The sequence below is a fragment of the Homo sapiens genome, chromosome 19 (genome assembly GCF_000001405.40).
Source record: "Homo sapiens chromosome 19, GRCh38.p14 Primary Assembly".
In the NCBI taxonomy this organism is placed as follows: domain Eukaryota; kingdom Metazoa; phylum Chordata; class Mammalia; order Primates; family Hominidae; genus Homo; species Homo sapiens.
Window position 1 is genome coordinate 18,094,325 of NC_000019.10, and position 18,178 is coordinate 18,112,502.

Below are 18,178 nucleotides of genomic sequence, written 5' to 3' on the forward strand. Positions count from 1 at the left end.
CACCATGTTGCCCAGGCTGGTCTCAAACTCCTGACCTCAGATGATCCACCCACCTCAGCCTCCCAAAGTGCTGGGATTACAGACATGAGCCAGCACACACGGCCAACACATTGTTGTTTAATGCAACTATGTCCCAAGTACTGAAGGGGGCATACTTACACTGAAAAAACATTCATTGTTTATGGAAATTTAAATTTAACTGGGTGTTTGCTTTGGAAAACAGCCTGGTTGTCTTTTACAAATTTAAAATATAGAGTTGCTGGGCGCAGTGGCTCATGCCTGTAATCCCAGCACGTTGGGAAGCCAAGGCAGGAGGATCGCTTGAGCCCAAGATTTTGAGATCAGCCTGGGTAACATGGCGAAACCTTGTCTCTACAAAAAATACAAAAAATTAGCTGGGCATGGCGGCATGTGCCTGTAGTCTCAGCTACTCCGCCCTCCAGCCTGGGCGAAAGAGCAAGACCCTGTCCCAAAACAAAACAAAACAACCCAAAACATAGAGTTACACCATATGACCCCGGAAGTCCATTCCTAGGTAAGTACCCAAGAGAACCAAAATATATCCACAAAGGCAGGGGGCGGTAGCTCACACCTGCAATCCCAGCCTTTCGGGAGGCCAAGGTGGATGGATCACTTAAAGGTCAGGAGTTTGAGACCAGCCTGGCCAACATGGTGAAACCCCCGTCTCTACTAAAAATGCAAAAATTAGCTGGGAGTGGTGGCGGGTGTCTGTAATCCCAGCTACTCAGGAGGCTGAGGCAGGAGAATCAATTGAACCTGGGAGGCAGAGGTTGCAGTGAGCCAAGATCCCGCGACTGCACTCCAGCCTGGGCATCAGAGCAACACTTCATCTCAAAATAAATAAATAAAGAAATAAATCTATGCAAAAAGTTGTATGCCAATGTTTATAGCAGCTCTATTCAGAATAGCTACCAAAATGTGAAAAAATCCAAGTGACCACCAACAAATGAGTGGATCAACAAAATGTACATGTACATATATACAATGGAATATTATTTGGTCATGAAACGGAATGAAGTACTGATATTTGCCACAACATGGGTGCATCTTGAAAGCATGATGCTGAACGAAGCCAGACACATAAGGCCACATGTTATGTTTTCATTTTTATGAAATATCCAGCACAGGAAAATTCATAGAACAGGAAGCAGATTGGTAGTTGCCAGGGGCTGAGAGAGGGGGAATGAGGACTGGCTGCTAATAGGTACAGGGTTTCTTTTGGGGATGATACAAATGTCCTGGAATCAGATCGTGGTGATGGTTACACAACTCTGTGAGTATGCTTAAAACACTGAATTTATTGCACACTTTAAAAGCGTGAATTTTATGGTATGTGAATTATATGTCAATTTTTAAAATTGTATGAGAAAAACAAGTTTTCCCTGGCATCCTGTATTTTTATTTGCTCAATCTGGCCACCATAACTTGATGCAATTCTACAGTACCTCATGGACAGTCAGGCCCAGTGACCCTTCCTAGGGTCCCCTCGAGCCTGAAAGCATACTCCAGTGTCCACACTGTACAGTGGGGCAGCCGAAGACAACTGCGGCTGCAGAGAAAGTGCGAGTCCCAGGGAAAGAAAAAATGCAGGTGCTAAGCCAGGCACAGTGGCTCATGCCTGTAGTCCCAGCGCTTTGGGAGGCTGATGCAGGAGCATCACTTGAGGCCAGGAGTTCGAGACCAGCGCGGGAAACATGGCGGTACTCCATCTCTACAAAAAAAACCCAAAAAAATTAGCCAGGCATGGTGGCATGTGCCTGTGGTCCCACCTACTCTGGGAGCTGGGGTATGGGGGCTGAGGCAGGAAGATCGCTTGAGCCCGGGAGGTAGAGGCTGCAATGAGACAAGATTGCACCACTGCACTCCAGCCTGGGTGACAGAGAGAGACCCTGTCTCAAAAAAAAAATTTTTTTTTAAATGTGGGTGCTATTTTGGGACTTTGGGCTTTTCTCAGCCTCAGTTTCCCCTCCTGCAAAATGGAGTAGAACAATTATCTTCAAATATCTGTGAGAGATGGTGTTTATGAGACACTTAGGGCAAAAAGGCAATCATCCTCAAAAAAGAAACTGACAACTGCAGCGGCTACCTGCTTTTGTAAGTAAAGTTTTATTGGCACCAGGGCCAGGATTAAAGGGAGGCAAACAAGGCTGAGTGGTGCAAGGACAAGGGTCTGATCATGTCTTAAGAGTTTTAGTGTTTTGGCCAGGCAAAACACCAAAACTCTTTGGCCTGCAATCCCAGAACTTTGGGAGGCTAAGGTGGGTGAATCACCTGAGGCCAGGAGTTCGAGACAAGCCTGGCCAACATGGTGAGACCTCATCTCTACCAAAAATACAAAAAATCAGCCTGGTGTGGTGGTGGGCACCTGTAGTCCCAGCTACTAGGGAGGCTGAGGCATGAGAATAGCTTGAACCCAGGAGGCAGGGGTTGCCGAGATCATGCCACTGCATTCTAGTCTGGGCAACAGAGAGACTCGTCTCATAAATTAAAAAAAAAAAAAAAAAGTTTTGGTGTTTTGGCCATATGCGGTGGCTGACACCTGTAATCCCAACACTTTGGGAGGCCTAGGCAGAAGGATCTTTTGAGGCCAGGAGTTCAAGACCAGCCTGGGCAACATAGTGAGATCCCCGTCTCTAAAAATAAAATAAAAAATAAAAGTTTTGATGTTTTGTTCATCATAAATGTTTTCATTAATTTTATGTTTTTAAAATATTATTTCTCTTGATGGCTGAGTTTTGTGGGGCCACCTTAAATTTTGCACAGGGGTGAGATCCTCACTCGCCTCACCCTAGAACCCGTTCTGCTGTGTGTACTGGGCACATTTTTTGTTGTTGTTTTGTTTTTGTTTTTGAGACAGAGTCTCGCTCTGTCGCCCAGTCTGGAGTGCAGCGGCGCTATCCCGGCTCACTGTAACCTCCGCCTCTTGGATTCAAGCGATTCTCCTGCCTCAGTCTTCTGAGTAGCTGGGATTACAGGCGCGCGTCACCACCCCCAAGTAATTTTTTTTTTGTTTTGTTTTGGTTTTTTTTGTTTAGTAGAGACAGGGTTTCACCATGTTGGCCAGGGTGATCTCGAACTCCTGACCTCAAGTGATCTGCCCACCTCGGCCTCCCAAAGTGCTGGGATACAGGCGTGAGCCACTGCGCCCGGCCAATGCGCTGGGCATATTGATTAACCTATCTTAGCCTCAGTTTCTTCATCTGCAAAATGGGGCTGAACGATGCTGCCTTACTTCTGAGAGGATTCATGCAAAATATTTACTTCTGCGCTCTGCTGGAGGGGCGGGGCCAGCTCGCCCAGTGGGGGCGGGGCCCTGTGGTCGGGCTCCCCGGGAGGGGCGGGGCCAGGCCGTGTCAGCTGACCGGCCTGGCCAATGGCACCTGGCGGCGGGGCCTGGCAGGCCGGGGCGGGGCCGGGGGCGGGCCTGGCGGCGCGGACTCCCGGGCCATGGACGAGTCGAGCCTCCTGCGGCGCCGCGGGCTCCAGGTGAGGCCCCTGCGCGGGCGGGCGGAAGGCAGAGGGCGCGGCCAAGTGGACGCGGCCTGAAAGGTGCCGGGAGGGGCGGGGCCTTCACGGGCTGTAGGGAAACTGAGGCAGAGGGTGGGGAACGCTCAGATCGCTTCTTTTTGACCACCCGCTTCTCAAAGTGCTTTTTCTCATGGTGGGAAGGGGGAAGGTGCCCCCTTGGACATCTAGGGAAACTGAGGCTCCAAGCGATGGCGTGGGAGGAAGAGGCTGAGGGCTCTGCCCCTCCCCACCAGCTGTTCTAATAATAATGCTAGCAACAGCAGCCAGAGAGCTCACCATATGTTCATGGTTGTTTTAGTCCTATTACTAGCGATGTATTAATATGAGTTCATATGTATTAATACCTCCTTGGGTCGTCGCTGCACCACTGTACACCCTCAGCTCAGCCCTACGACGACCTGGGGAGGTTGGGGCTGTCAGGCGCCCATTTGTCAGAATAAGGAAACTGAGGCTCTAGTCCCGGAAAGCCACTCTCCAGAGGTCGCCTAGCTGGGATTCGATCTGCGCCCTCAACCAGCTCTCTTACGGCACAAGGCGCTGCCAACCAGCAGTGTGACCTGGGGGGAGGGCACCCTTGCTTCTCTGGGCCTCAGTTTTCCAATGAGCCATAGGGTCCTCCTTTTACTGAGTTTATGTTTAGGAGGCTGTGTCATCAGGAGGTAGGGACACAGGCGTCGGGGACAGCAGAAGCCTAAGTTTGAAGCCACACAGGGACTACATGACCCCGGGCAGCCACCCTTTGACTTCTCTGGGCCTCAGTGTCCCCATTATAAGAAAAGAAAAACAGGAATTAAGATTTGGCCATTTTCCTCTGGGACTTAGACCACACCCTTAAGAAGCCACCAAGTTTTCAGGTAGGGAACCTGGGATTCAGCACTTACCCAACGAACATTTATGGAGCGCCTGCTGTGTGCCTGGCTCTGGAGAGGCAGCGGAGTGTTCTGCAACCTCTGGAGCTGCCCTCCTAGAAACCCCAACCTGTTGGGGGAGGTAGACGCCAGAGCAGCGGTGACCCCACGGAGTGATCAGTTGTGATAAGGGACTCACAGCAAGTGAAGGAGGCGCCTGACCCAGTCATTGCTGGGAGCCCTGGGGTAGAGGAGGCAGCCAAGGGTGGCGAGGCATTGCAGCGGGGGGCGGTATTTAGGGAAATGAAAGAGGTTGACAGAAGCTGGAACCTAGGGAGGACTGAGCAGGTGGGGTGGGGGTCGGGGACTGAGGTTAGCTCCGGGCGGGTTGAGGGGGTGAGAGGAATGGGGCCGGCGGGTCTCCAACCTGGAGCCGCACCGGTAGCTGCGGGACTGCGAACTCAGCAGGTGATGGGAAGCCAGGTCGGGAGTGGTCAGGGAAGGCACGGGCTGAGCTGCAGATCAGAGACACCCGGTCTCTGGCCGCGCGGGGGTGGGGCAGAACTGGAGGCGCTGAGGCCAGAGGCAAGAGTGGGGGACTTGGGCGGAAAGGAGGGGGCGGGGCGGGATTGGCGAGCAGCGTGGTGTTGGTGGGGGGGCAGTCCCGCCTCCAGCCCCAGTTAGATGCCAACCCGCCCGCAGCCTCTTAAAATAGAGAAACCGCCTCCGGGTAGGCGAATGGGGGTGCTGCTGACGTCAAGAAGTGGGGCCTGTTCCATGGTGGGGGGGTCAAACATTTCCTGATGGTAAGTTCTATGTTACAAAAGGGGAAACTGAGGTTCAGAGAAGCATAGCCACTGTCCGGGTTTCACAAAGTATAGGTGACAGAGTCAGACAGGATTTGAACCCACGCAGTTCCGGCTTCCTCTCCAAACCAACCCAGCACAGGCGTCCCTCCACGAAGGTGGAGGGATGAGCACGGATTCCCCGACTGAATGAGGGCATTCCGGGCAGAGGCCACAGCACGTGCAAAGGCCCAGAGGCATGTAGCCTTTCTTACCTGTTTATATGGGGAAACAAGAACTTGAACCTATTTCTTAGCACTAGAGGCTGATGGCCAGGACTTAATGCTTCCAGGGCCTTCAGTGCTGATTTTGAAGAGGTTAGACTTTCCCCCTAGGGTGATGGGGAGCTATGGAAGGTGCTGGAGCAGGAGAGGACATGCCCATATTGAGGGGCTGGGAAGACTCCTCTGGAGGGCTAGGAGCAGGAGTGGGGGAATCAAAAAGGGCAGGAAGCCAGGAAGGAGCATGGAATGAAAGTCTAAGTGTACCAGGTGTGGTGGCTCATGACTGTAGTCCCAGCTACTCAAGGAGGCTGAGGCAGAAGGATCTCTCTCTCTCTCTCTTTTTTTTTTTTTTGAGAAAGAATCATGCTCTGTTACCCAGGCTGGAGTCCAGTGGCGCAATCTCGGCTCACTGCAACCTCCACCTCCCGGGTTCAAGTAATTCTCCCTGCCTCAGCCTCCCGAGTAGCTGGGATTACAGGCACATGTCACCACGCCCGGCTAATTTTTGTATTTTTAGTAGAGACGGGGTTTCGCCATGTTGGCCAGGCTGGTATCAAACTCCTGATCTCAGGTGATCCGCCCACCTCGGCCTCCCAAAGTGCTAGAATTACAGGCGTGAGCCACCGCGCCCAGCCAAGAAGGATCTCTTGAGCCCAGGAGTTTGAGGCTATAGTGAGCCATGATCACGAGACCCTATCTCAAAAATAAAAATAAAGGTCCAAGTGGAAGAAGATTAAAATAATAATAAAATAATAGTAAAGTGGGAATAACCGTTCATATTAACAGGCTAAGCCCTCTCATGCATTCAATTCTCCCAACAGCCCGAGTGGTCAGTGCTATTATTAGTTCCACTTTTCAAAGGAAGAAACTGAGGCCCAAAGAGGGAAGTACCCACCAGGAAGCCAGAGAAATTCTAACCAATCTGGCACGTGAAGGTGTTGTCTTCATCAGCCCCAGTTTGGGGTCTCTTTTGACTGGAAACCTTGTTAATGGTCCAGGAGCACCCCAGCCAATCAGGGGGTAGATCGCTGATGCGAGCCAATCAGATTTCCTGGAGGCCAAAGGCCAAAGAGTCCATTCACAAACGGGTGCTGACCGGCCAATCCAGACGCATAGCCCAGGGCGTCCTCTCCGGTGGTGACAATGTGAGGCGTGCTGTTGGCTGTGTGCAGGAAAGGTCTGAAAAAGGATCCGGCCTGGCCCGCGGGCGGCCAGTTTGCGACAGCCCTGGGTCCAGGGAGGAGGTGGAGACCTTCCCAATTTGGGTTAAACTCAGCCTCACGCATAACGTGTGCAGGCACCGGGTAACGTGAGCTGTTATTACTACTACTACTATTATCTTATTACATTTATCATCTCCTACTTGGACCTTTGCTTTACACATGACCGAATTTCAAAACACCAGGTCCCACAAACAGAGCATCCCCCGGCAGAGAAGGGCTAGAGCCTGTATCTGGACTTTTGTCTCTGCCGCTACTGGGGTGGCTCCTCTAGGTTCAGCCCTCCAAGGTGATCCTGCTTTCTCATGGACAGCTTCCACTTATTTTCCTCCTCCTCCTCCTCCTCCTCCTTCTCCTTCTCCTCCTCCTCCTCCTCCTCCTGGAAGCCCTGGGGCTGGTGCCATGTGGTCCATGCTGACTTCTCTCCCATTTAATTCCAGGGGCATCGAACTTCCAACCGGGCTTGGTGCCCAGCAGGCTGAGTCTCACCTCCCTTTGCACGTGCTGTTTGCTGGGCATGGACTGGTGTTTTCCATGTGCCTGCAGGCTTTGTTTGACACCCCCTACTCCAGGAAGCCCCTTAGCTCTCCTCTCTGTGTGCCTCCAACCCCTCTTCTCCCTTTGAGTCTCTCTTTTTTTAGACAGGATCTTGCCCTGTCGCCCAGGCTGGAGTGCGGTGGCCCAGGCTGGAGTGCAGTGGCGCCATCTTGGCTCACTGCAGGCTCCGTCACCTGGATACAAGCGATTCTCACAGCCTCAGCCTCCTGAGTAGCTGGATTACAGGCGAGCGCCACCACACCCGACTAATATAATTTTTATATTTTTTAGTAGAGATGGTGTTTCACCATGTTGGCCAGAATGGCCTCAAACTCTTTTTTTTTTTTTTTTTTTTTTTGAGACGGAGTCTTGCTCTGTCGCCCAGGCTGGAGTGCAGTGGCGTGATCTCCGCTCATTCCACCTCCCAGGTTCATGCCATTCTCCTGCCTCAGCCTCCCGAGTAGCTGGGACTACAGGCTCCTGCCACCACACCCGGCTAATTTTTTGTATTTTTAGCAGAGACGGGCTTTCACCGTGTTAGCCAGGATGGTCTCCATCTGCTGACTTCGTGATCCTCCCACCTCGGCCTCTCAAAGTGCTGAGATTACAGGTGTTAGCCACTGCGCCTGGCCTTTTTTTTTTGAAACGGAGTTTCACTCTTTCGCTCTTCTTGCCCAGGCTGGAGTGCAATGGCACGATCTCGGCTCACCGCAACCTCTGCCCCCGAGTTCAAGCGATTCTCCTGCCTCAGCCTCCCAGGTAGCTGGGATTACAGGCATGCGCCACCACATCCTGCTAATTTTGTATTTTTAGTAGAGACGGGGTTTCTCCATGTTGGTCAGGCTGGTCTCGAACTCCTGACCTCAGGTGATCTGCCTGCCTCAGCCTCCCAAAGTCCTGGGATTACAGGCATGAGCCACTGCGCCCGGCCACCTTTTTTTTTTTTTTTTTTGAGACGGAGTCTCATTCTGTCACCCAGGCTGGAGTACAATGGTGTGGTCTTGGCTCACTGCAACCTCCGCCTCCGGGGTTCAAGGGATTCTCCTGCCTCGGCCTACCGAGTAGCTGGGACTACAGGCGCCTGCCACCACATCCAGCTAATTTTTGTATTTTAAGTAGAGACGGGGTTTCACTATGTTGGCCAGGCTGATCTTGAACTCCTGACCTTGTGATCCGCCCACCTTGGCCTCCCAGCGTGCTGGGATTACAGGCGTGAGCCACCGCACCTGGCTCAAACTCTTGATCTTAAGTGATCCTCCCGCCTCAGCCTCCCAAAGTGCTGGGATTACAGGCATGAGCCACAGCACCCAGCTGCTTCGGGTCTCTCTTAATCCCTCCAGTATGGGGGTGCTCCTGCTGTGCTATGTCTTCTCCAAAATGGGATTTCCTCAAGGTGGGGCTAAAGCTTGTTGGGGAGGCAGCATCCCCCAGCCTGGGCAAGCGCAGACGGGTATACCATAAATATTACCTTTAAAGGGCAGTTTCAGGGGGTCGGGGCCTCCCCAACCTCCACTCCTCTGGGTGGGAACCACTCCCAGGGGAACAGCAGGCACAGAGGGAGCTGTGGGTGGAAAGCAGATGGTGCGGGGACCGAAGGGTCCGGGAGTGGTGCCAGGAGAGTTCTGTGTGGTCCAGCTTCCCCGGGAGCCTTTGCAGGGAGCTGCCGATTTTGCCTCACCTCTCTCTGCCACTTTAAAAAAACATCTTCAGGCCAGGCACAGTGGCTCATGCCTGTAATCCAGCGTTTTGGGAGGCCGAGATGGGAGGACTGCTTGAGGTCAGGAGGTCAAGACCAGCCAGACCAACATGGTGAAATCCTATCTCTACTAAAAATACAAAATCAGCCAAGCGTGGTGGTGGGCGCCTGTAATCCCAGCTTACTTGGGAGGCTGAGGCAGAAGAATCGCTTGAACCCAGGAGGTGGAGGTTGCAGTGAGACAAGATCGCACCATTGCCCTCCAGCCTGGGCGACAGAGCAAGTCTCCATCTGAAAACAAACAAACAAACAAAATATTCACATCTTTTTGTCTTTTGGAAGCAACTTTCAACTGGTGGTTATTATTCACGTCTTGATCATTGTCTTGACTCCCATCCATCCAAGTCTCCCCCAGCACCAGGCTCTGAGCTTGCTACTCATTGATTCCTCCAGGGACCCTATGTCACTGGGCCATTTTCCAAATGAGAAAACTGAGGCACAGAGGGGTTAAGTCACTTGTCGGGTCACACAGTGCAGGAGTGGGGGAGCCAGACTGGGAACCTAGGACTGTCAGAGTTTTGGAAGGAAATGCCTGGATGGGGTGCAAGTGGGACCCCCCACCAGGGTTCAAATCCCTCCCTGTTTCACGTGGGGTAGTGGAGGAAGTGGTATAAGATCCCACAACTGGCTGGGTGCAGTGGCTCATGCCTGTAATCCCAGCACTTTGGGAGGCCAAGGCAGGTGGATCACTTGAGACCAGGAGTTCAAGACCAGCCTGGGCAACATGGTGAAACCTCATCTCTATAAAAAATACAAAAATTAGCCGGGTGTGGTGGCACATGCCCACAATCCCAGCTACTCTGGAGGCGGAGGTTGCAGTGAGCCAAGATTGCACCACTGCATTCCAGTCTGGGCGACATAGCCAGACGCTGTCTCAAAAAAAAAAAAAAAAAAAAAAAAAAAAAAAAAAAAAAAATTCCCACAACTATTGGAAGGGGAAGAAGGAGACCCTAATGGCCACGGTGATGGTGGTGATGGTTCCATCACCATGACTGCTTGAACTAAACGCCGTGAGTTGTCTGTCCTCAGACATATTCAAGCAGTCAGAGAGACCTTCGAGGGGTAGATTATTCTCCTCCCATCGTGACAGCTTGGTTTTCTGAGCGCAGAGCAGCTGAAGTCAGGCCTGGGGTAACGCCACACCCCCGCGACCCTTCCCCGCCTCTCCCGGGAGACCTTGCCCTCCCAGCTGGGTCATCCGGCAGCCCAGCAGCTTCCGGCCCCCTCCAATTGGCTGTAGGGGCCGATGGCGTCACTGGTTGCTATGGCGAACACCCAGATCACGACGTGGGCAGCCTGGAGCCCACCAAAGTAAAAATAGTCGTGTGTCCCCAACGTGGCCGCCCTGATGTGTGTGGAGGGAGGGTGTCCTGAGACCCAGTTTCCTGCCTCTCACTCCACTAAGAGACGTGGGCAGCCGGCTTTCCTCTGCACCTAAGTTTCCCTGCCAGTAAAACAGCCCCTGCCCGCGGTTCGTAGGAGGTGGCTCAGTAAATGCAAGGACATTTACCAGGTATTATGACAGCTTCCATGGTCCCTTGCTGAGCTCAACAATAGTACAACAGCACACAACAGCAGCAATAGTAATGGCTGATCATGATTAACCCAGAACCCTCCTCACGTCATCTCCAGTTACAGATGGGGAAACTGAGGCACGGGGCATACAAATAATTTGCATGGCCAGGAAGAAACAGAGAATTGAACTGGACCCAGGTCTGGGTGTCCCCAGATTCTAAACTTGTGCCACATGGCATTTTGAGAATTTAATAAACCCTCGTGATTGACCGGGTGCGATGGCTTACACTGTAATCCCAGCCCTTTGGGAGGCTAAGGTGGATGGATCACTTGAGGTCAGGAGTTCGAGACCAGCCTGGGCAACATAGTGAAACCTCGTCTCTGCTAAATATACAAAAATTAGCCAGGCATGCTGGCACACACCTGTAACCCCAGTTACTTGGGAGGCTGAGTCAGGAGAATCGCTTGAACCCGAGAGGCAGAGGTTTCAGTGAGCCAAGACTGCACCACTGCACTCCAGCCTGGCGATACAGTGAGACTCCATCTAAACAAACAAACAAACAAACAAAAAACTGGTTTTTTGGCCAGGCATGGTGGCTTATGCCTGTAATCCCAGCATTTTGTAATCCCGGCATTTTGGGAGGCCAAAGTGGGTGGATCATCTGAGGTCAGGAGTTCAAGACTAGCCTGGGTAACATGGCAAAACCCTGTCTCTTCTAAAAAAAAAAAAAAAAGTCCCAGCTACTCTGGAGGTTGAGGCAGGAGAATCGCTTGAACCTGGGAGACAGAGGTTGCAGCGAGCCGAGATTGTGTCATTGCACTCCAGCCTGGGCAACAAGAGCAAAAGTCTGTCTCAAAAAAACAAAAACAACAACAAAAAAAAACCCTCTTGGGCAGCCCATGTCTGAGGATGGACTGTGAGGTCACAGTGGAACACAAGCTCACGGCTTTCTATCCTTCATGCGGTGAGGGCACCCAGAGTTGGTGCAGGTCAGTTTGCTGAGCTCTAAAAGGGTCTTCAAAAGGGAGTCACCCGTCAGCCGTCCTCCCCACGCCCCCACTGGTACCCAGGGCCCAAACCTGCATAGGCTTTGCAGCGAGTGAGGAGAGAATGGCGTTCAGACCTAGACCCAGGAGGAGAGGGACATCTGAGATGGGACAGGGAGAGGACAACTCAGGAATCTCTGTTTTCTCAACAGATTATTAGTTTTTAGCCACTACTGACATACTTCTTCATAAATACAACTAATTGGTAATTTTAAATAAAATTATTATTAATTTTTTTTAGACTTAGAGTCTTGCTCTGTCACCCAGACTAGAGTGCAATGGTATTATCATAGTTCACTGCAACCTCCAACTCCTGGGGTCAAGCAATCCTCCCACCTCAGTCTCCTGAGTAGCTGGGATTGCAGGCGTGCAACACCACACCTGGCTAATTTTTTTTTCTTTTTTGAGACGGAATCTCTCATTGTTGCCAGGCTAGAGTGCAATGGCACCATCTCAGCTCACTGCAAGCTCTGCCTCCCAGGTTCAAGCGATCCTCCCGAGTAGCTGGGGCTACAGGTGTGCAATACCACGCCCAGCTAATTTTTGTATTTTTAGTAGAGACAGGGTTTCACCATGTTGGCCAGGATGGTCTTGATCTCTTGACCTTGTGATCTGCCCGCCTTGGCCTCCCAAAGTACTGGGATTACAGGCATGAGCCACCGCACTTGGCCCTTCTTATTTATTTATTTATTTATTTATTTATTTATTTATTTATTTATTTTTGAGATGGAGTTTCGCTCTTGTTTCCCAGGCTGGAGTGCAATGGTGTGACCTCGGCTCACTGCAACCTCCGCCTCCCGGGTTCAAGCGATTCTCCTGCCTTAGTCTCCCAAGTAGCTGGAATTACAGGCACCCACCACCATGCCTGGCTAATTTTGTATTTTTAGTAGAGATGGGGTTTCACCATGTTGGCCAGGCTGGTCTTGAACTCCCGACCTCAGGTGATCTGCCCACCTCAGCCTCCCAAAGCTCTGGGATTACAGGTATGAGCCACTGCGCCTGACCGGCCCGGCCTTTTTTTGGAGACAGGGCTCAAGCAATCCTCCCACCTCAGCCCCCCAAGTAGCTAGGAGTACAGGCTTGAGCCACCATGCCCAGCAATTTTTTTTTTTTTTTTTTTTTTTTTTTTTTGTAGAGACGGGGTTTCACTCTGTTGCCCAGGCTAGTTTCAAACTCCTGAACTCAAGTGATCCATCCGCCTTGGCCTCCCAAAGTGCCAGAATTACAGGTGTGAGCCACCGCACCCGGCCTACTCTGGCTAATTTTTTTAAAAAGTTTTGTAGAGATGTAGTCTTGCTATGTTGCCCAATCTGGCTTAAACTTCTGGGCTCAAACAACCCTCCTGCTTTGGTCTCCCAAAGTACTGAGATCACAGGTGTGAGCCACCGTGCCCAGCCTAAAATATTTTTTAATGCAGGTATGGTAGGAGCCGGGTGGGGAATTAGACTGTGAATCTGGAGGGCCTCCAGGAAGAAAGGATGTTGAGTTCAGATCTGGAGTATGAGCTGCAGTTAATTAGGGCCAGAAGGGAGGGAAGGCTGTTCTGAGAGAGCGCACAGATAGCGCAAAGGCCTTGAGGCAGGGCTGAGCCAGTGTGTAGAGTGAGCGGGAAAGATGCATTGGTTGGGGCATGGGATTGGGGATTGTGGGGGTGCATCAACGGCCAGGGGTTCTGAGGGCTAGTCTCTCTGAGAATGATCCCCATTTCTGTCTCATTGCAGAAGGAGCTGAGCCTGCCACGCCGAGGACGTGGGTGAGTTCACCTGGGACTGGCGGGCTGGGTGGGCCCCAGTGGTCTTGGAAGTGGATATTTCAGCAACAGCCACTGAATTGTGAATGTATTTAATAATTACAGCAACACATCTCATGTTCATTCTTGCCCTCGTGTTTGCAAAGTGCTTCACAAGCACCTGGCCTCTCACCACAAACATGGGAGGCCATGCCAGTTTGCAAATGAGGAAGCTGAGGTGCAAAGGGGTTTCATCACCAGCTAAGGACACTCAGCTGGGAAGGAGAGAAACTTGTCTGGAATCCAGAGTCCAGATGTTGAATTTCAGCTGAAGTGTATTAGAACTGGCTTGAATGCCTCTCATGACGGGGAGCTCACTTCCTTTTGGGGAACACCAGCAGAAAATCATCTCTCAGCTAGGCACGGTGGCTCCCGCCTGTAATCCCAGCACTTTGGAAGGCTGAGGCAGGCAGATCACTTGAGGCCAGAAGTTCAAGATCAGCCTGGCCAACATGGTGAAACCCCGTCTCTACTAAAAATACAAAAAAATTAACCAGGCGTGGTGGTGCTCGCTTGTAATCCCAGGTACTCAGGAGGCTGAGGCAGGAGATTCGCTTGAAGTGAGGTGAAGATTGCAGTGAACCAGGCTCCCACCACCAGACTTCAGTCTGGGCAACAGAGTGAGACTCTGTCTAAAAAAAAAGAAAAGAAAAAAATCATCTCTCTCGGGATCACATCAGTGTTCCTGTAGGTTGGGTTTTTTTTTTTTTGTTTTGCTTTGTTTTCTTTTTGAGACGGGGTCCCTCTCTCTCTGTCACCCACATAGTACAGTGCAGTAGTGTCATCTTGGCTCACTGCAACCACTGCCTCCCAGGTTCAAGAGAGTCTCCCGCCTCAGCCTCCAGAGTAGCTGAGACTACACATGCGAGCCTCCACACCTGACTTGTATGTTTAGTAGAGACAGGGTCTCACTATGTTGCCCAGGCTGGTCTCAAACTCCTGGACTCAAGCGATCTGCCTGCCTCAACCTCCCAAAGTGCTGGGATTACAGGCATGAGCCACCATGCCCAGTCTAGGTTACCATTTTTTATCCCCAAATCTTAGAGAACATTATTGTTCAATGCTTTCATTCATTTACAGATGAAAGAAACCAAAGGCCGGGGTGGGGAGGGGTTTTCCTTGAGCTAGTGGTCTGGAAGTGTGTGACTGTGGACACCCCATCTTTGGGAGCTGCTTTTGCCTGAGTTGGGGGTGGGAATCACTCAATGAACATTTTTTTGAGCACCTGCTGTACACTGGGCCCTGCTGAAGCCAGAGGGGATACAGACAATTCAATCTCAGAGCAATGGTTGAAGTTTTGTACTCAGGAGAGAGCTCAACCAGAGAAAGAGACAGAGGTGCTGGGGGTGGCTTTATCCTGAAGATCTGGGGCCTCTTGGAGGAAGTGACCTTTGAGCTTAGATCTGGAAGAAGAGGAGGAGCTGGCAGCGGGGAAGTCTGGGGAGAATGGCATTCCAAGCAGCAGGAACAGCTTGGGCAAAGTTTCTGGGGTGCCAGTATGCTTGGCGTTAGAAGAACAGCATGAAGACAAGGGTAGCTGAGTGGAGTGAGTGGAGATGAGGTGGCAGGACAGAAGGAGGAGGTCCTGGGAATGGGGTCAGAGTGGCCCCCAATCCCAGGCCATCTGCTTCTGTTCCAGTGGGGATGATACAGTTGGTGGGGAGGTGCTTGAAGGCCCCAGTGGTTGGGGGTTGCTGGGGGACTGGGACATTGCCCCGAGAGCCGGCACTGTTTCCAGCCTTGGCCCAAGCTGTGGGCAGAGTGTTGGACCGTGAATCAATGAGGACTGCCGAGGGCAAAGTCCTGGACCTTGGGGCAGGACAGAGCCAAAGACTCCACAAGGGATGTCCACTCCCTGCCACCTTCCCTGTGCCCCACTGGGTCCACCGGGGCCTCAAGAGGGCCAGAGTGAGACACAGACACCCCCAGACCGTGGGGTTTGCGCTGAGAGGGAGGAAGGACAGAGCTGGCGGCGCCTGGTGCTGGTGGGGGTGCAGGTACAGCTTGGCGGAGGAGGGGCTGGTGGGGTTGGGATCGTATATGGGTGAGGGGGCGACCTTCCTGGCAGAGGAAACAGCTGGAAGCCAGGGACTGGAGGTGTGGTCAGAGCCTCTAGTGTGCGCGGGGATGCGGAGACCCGAGCGGGTTAGGACCTCAGTGCTGAGCAGCTGGCCGGGATGCGGGGTTGGGGAGTTGGGGCGGACTGCGCTCAGATCCCGGCTCCCAGAGAGCCCCAGGGCCGGGGCGAGGGCAGAGGCCGGGCCGGGGCGGGGAGAGGCGGGGTCAGGCCATGGAGCAATCGCGCGGACCGCGGAGCCAGTGACCGCCCTTCCCTTCCGGGGCGCAGCTCGGGGGCTCCCAAGCCGGCGGCCTCGGCGTCCCTGCGGCAGACAGGGCGGCACCCGCGGCTCCCCTTTCCCGCTGCGCGACCCTCGCTGCCGGGCCGGGCCTGCGCGCAGGTGCGGAGCTGCGATCCCCGCCCCGAGGCGGAGCCAGCCCGGCCCCCAGCGGCCCAGCCCCCGCGTCTAGTCTGCCGCACCAGCCAGGCGTCTGTCCCTGCGTCCGTGTGTCCGTCCGTCGGTCCGCTCGCGCCACGATCAGGGCTTCCGGGGGCCAACAAGGGGGCGTCGGTACCCCGCCGCACAGAGGCGGCCTCTGCCTCGGCATGAAGTCCCGCAGGGACAAGCTGCACATCCCGGCGCTGACCCTCGAGTGAGTGTTGGGCAGGGCGGGGGTATGCGGGGTGCAGGGAGGACAGGATGACAACTACCCTCCCCCCACGTCTCTGTTCGTGTCGCCCAGAAACGCACCGCCGCCTCCGGGGAGCCCTCCCGGGCCATCGGTCTGGCCCCGCCCTCACGTCCTGAGCTGAACCCAGAATCCCCGGTCTTGGGCCCCTACTCCCTGAGGGAACCGCAGCCGCCATCCGGAGATCCGGATTCGGCCACACGAAGGGGCGGCCGCCAGGTTCACCGTCCCCGGCCTCTTTCTTTGCAGTCTGTCTCCGAGCAGCCAGAGCCCGTCCCTGCTGGGTCCCAGCAGCCCCTGCAGCCCCTGTAGCCCCTCCTTGGGCCTGCACCCCTGGAGGTAAGTGACAGCGCGTGTGGGCGGGGCGCAGACATCGCCCTGGCACCCCAGAGCCTTGGAAACCCTCCAGACTCATCGGTCTCCTCAAGATACTGCAGGTTGGTGACATCACCTCTCTGGGCCTCAGTTTACCCCTCCACATAATGGCACTGCGATACGTTCTAGGGGCTTAATGGGAAAATTCCATTTTTAGCCAGGCCAGCATCTGACAGGTGGCCAAGGAAAGGGAAGAACTTAAGCTGTTGCCCAAGGACTTCGCCAAGACAGGTGCCGGATTCCCAAGCGGCTCAGGGCACTCCCTGCTGAATTGGCCTGGACTCCTGGGTGGTGACCTCAGGGAGAAAGCTCCTCCCTCTAAAACACACGCACACCCAAGGCTGAGAGGCCACCAACGAGAGCCCTGTGAATTGAGATTAACCAAAGTGGCGCCGGGAGAAAAGAACCAGGGTGACTGAGCGCTCCCTAACCCTTTCCTGATCCCTACTTCCCAGTTAAGAAAACTGAGGCTCAGAGAGGAGATGCCAGTTTTCCTGATTCAGTCCATCCCCCGGGGGCCAAGCATCAGGGACAGCTTTGCTACCAGGTCTGTTGAGGGTTCTACTGGCCAGTTGGTTGACTCTGTGACTGGCCAGGTTTCAGGACAGGAAGGAGTTTTGTGAGCTCCTCTCATGGTTTGGGCAAAAGTTTAGGGAGGGACAGATGTGAGGTCAATGGTGTCTGTTAGAGTTATGTGGCCCATCAACCATTTACACTTTAGTATGAATGAGCTGCTTAACTCTTTCCACAGACTTTTTTTTTTTTTTTTTTTTTTGAGGCAGAGTCTTGTTCTGTCCCCTAGGCTGGAGTGCAGTGGTGCAATCTCAGCTTACTGCAACCTCCACCTCCTGGGTTCAAGCAATTCTCCTGTTGTAGCCTCCCAAGTAGCAGGGACTATAGGCACCTACCACCACATCCAGCTAATTTTTGTATTTTAGTAGAGATGGGGTTTCACCATGTTGGCCAGGCTGGTCGCAAACCCCTCTGCCTCAGCCTCCCCAAGTGCTGGGATTACAGGCATAAGCCACACGCTGGGCCATCCACAGACCTTTAACGGGGAGAAGAGAGAACAATATAGAGCCCACATTTGGGTGCTGGGCAACAGGGAGGTACCTTCCTTCAGACGCCAAGCACTTATGAGGCACCTACTGAGATCCAGGTGCTAAAGGCATTGCTATAAAGAAAACATAGTCCCTCCATCAATGACTTCTCAGTCAGCTTAGGGAATTCAGTGATAAAACTAATGGATAAACAAGATGTATTCAGACAGGGACCTCTTGGGGAGGTGATGTTTGAGCCAAGGCCTGGGCACAGCTAAAGAAAGATTGGCACCAGGCAGTGGGTACTGCATGTGCAAAGGTCCTGTGGCAGGACTGAGGTGGTGGGTTTTTTGTTTTTGTTTTTTGAGACAGTCTCACTTTGTCGCCCAGGTTGGACTGCAGTGGCATGATCTCGGCTCACTGCAACCTCTGCCTCCCAGGTTCAAGTGATTCTCCTGTTTCAGGCTCCGAGTAGCGGAGACTACAGGCGTGCCACCACGCCCGGCTAATTTTTTGTTTGTTTGTTTGTTTGTTTGAGAAGGGATCTTGCTCTGTTGCCCAGGCTGGAGTCCAGTGGTACCATCTTGGCTCACTGCAACCTCCGCCTCCTAGGTTCAGGTGATTCTCCTGCCTCAGCCTCCCAAGTAGCTGGGATTACAGGCACACACCAACACTCCCGGCTAAT

General features: G+C 53.1%; 2 protein-coding genes across 53 annotated transcripts in view, besides 7 other annotated features; one reads left to right on the plus strand and one right to left on the minus strand.

The window, feature by feature from the left end:
* The window catches only part of IL12RB1 (interleukin 12 receptor subunit beta 1), a 39,933-nt gene extending 35,330 nt beyond the window's left edge, over window positions 1-4,603 (minus strand). For 16 of the 19 annotated variants that reach the window (XM_011527975.3, XM_011527969.3, XM_006722741.4 and 13 more), the window contains exon 1: window positions 4,431-4,492. In XM_011527975.3, coding sequence (XP_011526277.1) covers window positions 4,431-4,441 — 11 coding nt within the window. In that variant the 5' untranslated portion in view covers window positions 4,442-4,492. Of the gene's footprint in view, window positions 1-4,430 lie in introns of all 19 variants that reach the window. The other 3 variants (NM_001290024.2, NM_001440427.1, NM_001440426.1) reach the window with 1 other exon arrangement.
* Window positions 3,189-3,698: a silencer, noted in NCBI's record as "silent region_10369". NCBI's record gives its function as "represses an Ori minimal core promoter by ATAC-STARR-seq in GM12878 lymphoblastoid cells {active_cell/tissue: GM12878}" and the evidence as "EXISTENCE:reporter gene assay evidence [ECO:0000049][PMID:35858748]".
* The window catches only part of MAST3 (microtubule associated serine/threonine kinase 3), a 53,910-nt gene continuing 39,185 nt past the window's right edge, over window positions 3,454-18,178 (plus strand). For 9 of the 34 annotated variants that reach the window (NM_001393508.1, NM_001393516.1, NM_001393514.1 and 6 more), the window contains exons 1-2: window positions 3,454-3,507; window positions 13,263-13,294. In NM_001393508.1, the coding sequence (NP_001380437.1) occupies window positions 3,469-3,507; window positions 13,263-13,294 (71 nt within the window). In that variant the 5' untranslated portion in view covers window positions 3,454-3,468. Of the gene's footprint in view, window positions 3,508-13,262; window positions 13,295-14,917; window positions 15,328-15,851; window positions 16,043-16,327; window positions 16,418-18,178 lie in introns of those variants that run through there. The other 25 variants (NM_001393501.1, XM_047438476.1, NM_001393502.1 and 22 more) reach the window with 4 other exon arrangements.
* Window positions 10,065-10,174: a silencer, noted in NCBI's record as "silent region_10370". NCBI's record gives its function as "represses an Ori minimal core promoter by ATAC-STARR-seq in GM12878 lymphoblastoid cells {active_cell/tissue: GM12878}" and the evidence as "EXISTENCE:reporter gene assay evidence [ECO:0000049][PMID:35858748]".
* Window positions 15,553-15,862: a silencer, noted in NCBI's record as "silent region_10371". NCBI's record gives its function as "represses an Ori minimal core promoter by ATAC-STARR-seq in GM12878 lymphoblastoid cells {active_cell/tissue: GM12878}" and the evidence as "EXISTENCE:reporter gene assay evidence [ECO:0000049][PMID:35858748]".
* Window positions 15,553-16,382: a biological region, named in NCBI's record as "H3K27ac-H3K4me1 hESC enhancer GRCh37_chr19:18220925-18221494".
* Window positions 15,791-16,360: an enhancer, noted in NCBI's record as "H3K27ac-H3K4me1 hESC enhancer chr19:18220925-18221494 (GRCh37/hg19 assembly coordinates)". NCBI's record gives its function as "activates a minimal SCP1, AML or CMV promoter by ChIP-STARR-seq in naive H9 embryonic stem cells {active_cell/tissue: H9 hESC(naive)}" and the evidence as "EXISTENCE:reporter gene assay evidence [ECO:0000049][PMID:30033119]".
* Window positions 15,893-15,942: an enhancer, noted in NCBI's record as "active region_14297". NCBI's record gives its function as "activates an Ori minimal core promoter by ATAC-STARR-seq in GM12878 lymphoblastoid cells {active_cell/tissue: GM12878}" and the evidence as "EXISTENCE:reporter gene assay evidence [ECO:0000049][PMID:35858748]".
* Window positions 16,203-16,382: an enhancer, noted in NCBI's record as "active region_14298". NCBI's record gives its function as "activates an Ori minimal core promoter by ATAC-STARR-seq in GM12878 lymphoblastoid cells {active_cell/tissue: GM12878}" and the evidence as "EXISTENCE:reporter gene assay evidence [ECO:0000049][PMID:35858748]".